We start from the raw sequence: 3943 nt of genomic DNA on the forward strand, positions 1-3943 counted from the left end.
CCTGGCTAATTTTTTTGTATTTTTAGCAGAGACGGCGTTTCACTGTATTAGCCAGGATGGTCTCGATCTCCTGACCTCGTGATCCACCTGCCTTGGCCTCCCAAAGTGCTGGGATTACAGGCGTGAGCCACCGCACCTGGCCTCATGTTCTGTTTCTTGATCTGGGTGCTGGTCAAATGAATGGGTTCTTTTTTGTTGGTTGTTTGGTTGGTTGTTTTTTTTTTTTTTTTGTATGTTTTTTGAGATGGAGTTTTGCTCTTGTTATCCAGGCTGGAGTGAAGTGGGGTGATCTCGGCTCACTGCAATCTCCACCTCCTGGGTTCAAGCGATTCTCCTGCCTCAGCCTCCCAAGTAGCTGGGATTACAGGCGTGCACCACCACACCCAGCTAATTTTTGTATTTTTAATAGAGACGGGGTTTCATCATATTGGCCAGGCTGGTCCTGAACTTCTGACCTCAGGTGATCCACCCGTCTTGGCCTCCCAAAGTGCTGAGATTACAGGCGTGAGCCACCTCGCCCACAGAATGGGTTCTATTTGTGAAAATTCATCAAATGGTTTGTATATATGAAAAAAATGAAATATACCTGCAGGATGTAATATTTTGCAAGTAGATAATTGTGACTTGTGTTAAATTTCCAGGGACAGCATCTTAGATGTTACAAACATTTAGATGGCAGTGACACTGGAAAGCTGAGAGACACTCAGACAGTGAGCACAGTGACAATGACGAAGAGAGGCAGATGCATGTGCAGAGAGTCATGTACAATGTAGACATACTCATTTAATGGAATATGACAGAGGGGACAAAGCTACATTTCTAAAGTTGTACCTAATATGTGATTTTAAAGTATATATGTGGCTGGGCGTGGTGGCTCATGCCGGTAATCCCAGCACTCTGAGAGTCTGAGGCAGGCAGATCACTTGAGGTCAGGAGTTCAAGGCCAGCCTGGCCAACACAGCAAACCTCCATCTCTACAAAAAATACAAAAATTAGCTGGCCTTGGTGTCACAGGCCTGTCGTCCCAGCTACCTGGGAGGCTGAGGCAAGAGAATCACTTGAATCCGGGAGGTGGAGGTTGCAGTGAGCCGAGATCACGCCACTGCACTCCAGCCTGGGTGACAGAGTGAAACGCTGTCTCTAAATAAATAAATATAAATAAAAAGAAATGCAGGAGCTGGCATTTGGGAGTTGGGCCAGCACACCTGGGCCAGTAAAGGCAGGGGCCTGACTGCATCTGCCACACCCTAAAATCATGTCTCCCCAGTGTGTCTTCTTGAGTGAATGAGAGAGCCAGCTGGTATAGGAAAGTGTGTTCCAGCAAATCATTTCACATTAGCCACAGGCCCAGTGACAAGAGCTGTTTCTGGCTCATGGCTTTCCAGAACCCATCCTGCCTTCTTCTCATACCAGTACCTGGATTTTCCTTGGAGGAATCAAAGCCATGCTCAGTTTTCAGTCCCCTTGGTTGAGGAAAGGGTTGGCTTGACCCCTCAGATGCAAGGCTGGTCACATGATCCAGGCCTGGCCAATCAGCAGATTCCACCCTGCTGGCTATAGTGATTGGTTCAGAGATGACCGCATGACCCAAGGTTGCTGTGCCCCATCAAAGCTAACTTTGCAATGGCGCAATCTTGGCTCACTGCAACCTCCACCTCCTGGGTTCAAGCGATTCTCCCGCCTCAGCCTCCTGAGTAGCTGGGATTACAGGTGCCCACCACCATGCCCAGCTAATATTTGTATTTTTAGTAGAGATGGGGTTTCACCATGTTGACCAGGCTGGTCTTGAACTCCTGACCTCAGATGATCCACCCGCCTAGGCCTCCCAAAGTGCTGGGATTACAGGCGTGAGCCACCGGGCCCAGCCAGAAAGGTGGTTTTCTGATGGGCTTGTGGATTCAGAGCTGCTGGATGCCATCCCACCTGGCTGAGCGGTGTGCATGTTGGAGATGTGGCCTGCCTGAGAGTCCCTGCAGGGGAAGTGAGATGGATTACTGGTGACACTGAAACCTGGATGCACTTAGGCCTAAAGTGAGATCTACCTCGCCACTGTTCAGATACCAGGACCAGTAAGTGCCCTTTTAAACTTAAGTCAGTCTGAGTTGGGCTTCAGTTGCTTGCAACCAATAGAGGGCTGACCAGTGCACCAAGGCACCTTGACATATGTGGTCACTGAGAGTAATTGTGGGGCTTCCCTTTTTCAGATATTTTTGAGGAAGAATCACCAAACTGCATCTCCTACTGGGAGGTGCCCAGACTTGGATGTTCTCTCCCATCATGGAGGTTCACAGCAGCAAAGCCTGGGGAGACTGGCAGCCCATAGGCCAAAGAGGCCCCTGCCTTACCTGCACCATTCCTTCCCTTTTCTCTCCTTTCTCTACAGGCCATTGGCCAGTGGCAGCAGCCTCCTCATCCTCTCCAGACACACTCTGGATCTTGGTTCTGCTCTTCTTGCCTCTGGAGAGCCCCAACACTCCCCATTCCCAGTTGACTCAGCTCAGGTATGTCCTCTTTGTGATGCCTACCTAGACAAGACACCCAAACAGAACCAGAACCACTGATCCCTCCTTTGTGTTCCTACTGCATTGTTTGTATCCTTTTATTTAACGCAGAACTTGGCACTCACTATGATCAGTCATTTATTTCTTGCTTCTTTTTATTTACTGAATGTCTTCTGTGTTCCCAGGACTGTTTTGTGCATTGGGAATACAGCAAAGAACAACACAGAGAAAATCTATTTTCATGGAGTTTATATTCTAGTAGGGAAACAGACGTAAAAATCAATACATCAGTGAACTACACATGGTGTGCCTGAGAGTAAGTGTTACTGAGAAAAATCGAGCAAGGAAAGAGGACAGTGATATGGTTTGGCTGTGTCCCCACCCAAATCTCATCTTGAATTGTAGCTCTTATAATTCCCACCTGTTGTGGGAAGGATCCAGTGGGAGATAATCGAATCATGGGGGCGGTTTCCCCCATACTGTTCTCGTGGTAGTGAATAAGTCTCACAAAGTCTCATGGTTTTATAAGGGGAAACCCCTTTCACTTGCTTCTCATTCTTTTTGCCTGCCACCATGTAAGACGTGCCTTTATTCTTCCATCACCTTCCACCATGATTGTGAGGCCTCCCCAGCCATGTGGAACTGTGAGTCTATTAAACCTCTTTCTTTATAAATTACCGAGCCTCAGGTATGTCTTTATTAGAAGCATGATAACAAACTAATATAGACAGGGAGGGCTGGAATGTGGAGGGAGGGTATGCTTTGAAATAATGTGGTTGGCCACACAGTGGCTCATGCCTGTAATCCCAGCACTTTGGAAGGCCGAGGTGGGCAGATCACTTGAGCTCAGGATTTCAAGTAGCCTGGCCAACATGGTGAAACTCAATCTCTACTAAAAATAATCCCAACACTTTGGGAGGATTGCCTCAGGTGGATTGCCTCAGGTCAAGAGTTCCAGACCAGCCTGGCTAACATGGTGAAACCCCATCTCTACTAAAAATACAAAAATTAGCTGGGCATGGTGGTGCACGCCTGTAGTCCCAGCTACTTGGAGGCCCAACACTTTGGGAGGCCAAGGTGGGTGGATTGCCTGAGGTCAGGAGTTCAAGCCAGCCTGGCTAACATGGTGAAACCCCATCTCTACTAAAAACACAAAAATTAGCTGGGCGTGGTGGCTGATGCCTGTAGTCCCAGCTACTCGAGAGGCTGAGGCAGGAGAATAGCATGAATCCAGGAGGTGGAGGTTGCCTCCGGGGTGCAGTGAGCTGAGATCGTGCCACTGTACTCCAGCCTGGGCAGCAGAGCAAGACTCCATCTCAAAAAAAGAAAAAAAAAATTAGCCAGTCATGGTGGTGGGTGCCTGTAATCCCAGCTACTTGGGAGGCTGAGGCAGAATCATTTGAACCTGGGAGACAGAGGCCGCAGTGAGCCAAGATCGTGTC

This window comes from Homo sapiens, chromosome 16 (assembly GCF_000001405.40).
Source record: "Homo sapiens chromosome 16, GRCh38.p14 Primary Assembly".
Lineage (NCBI taxonomy): Eukaryota > Metazoa > Chordata > Mammalia > Primates > Hominidae > Homo > Homo sapiens.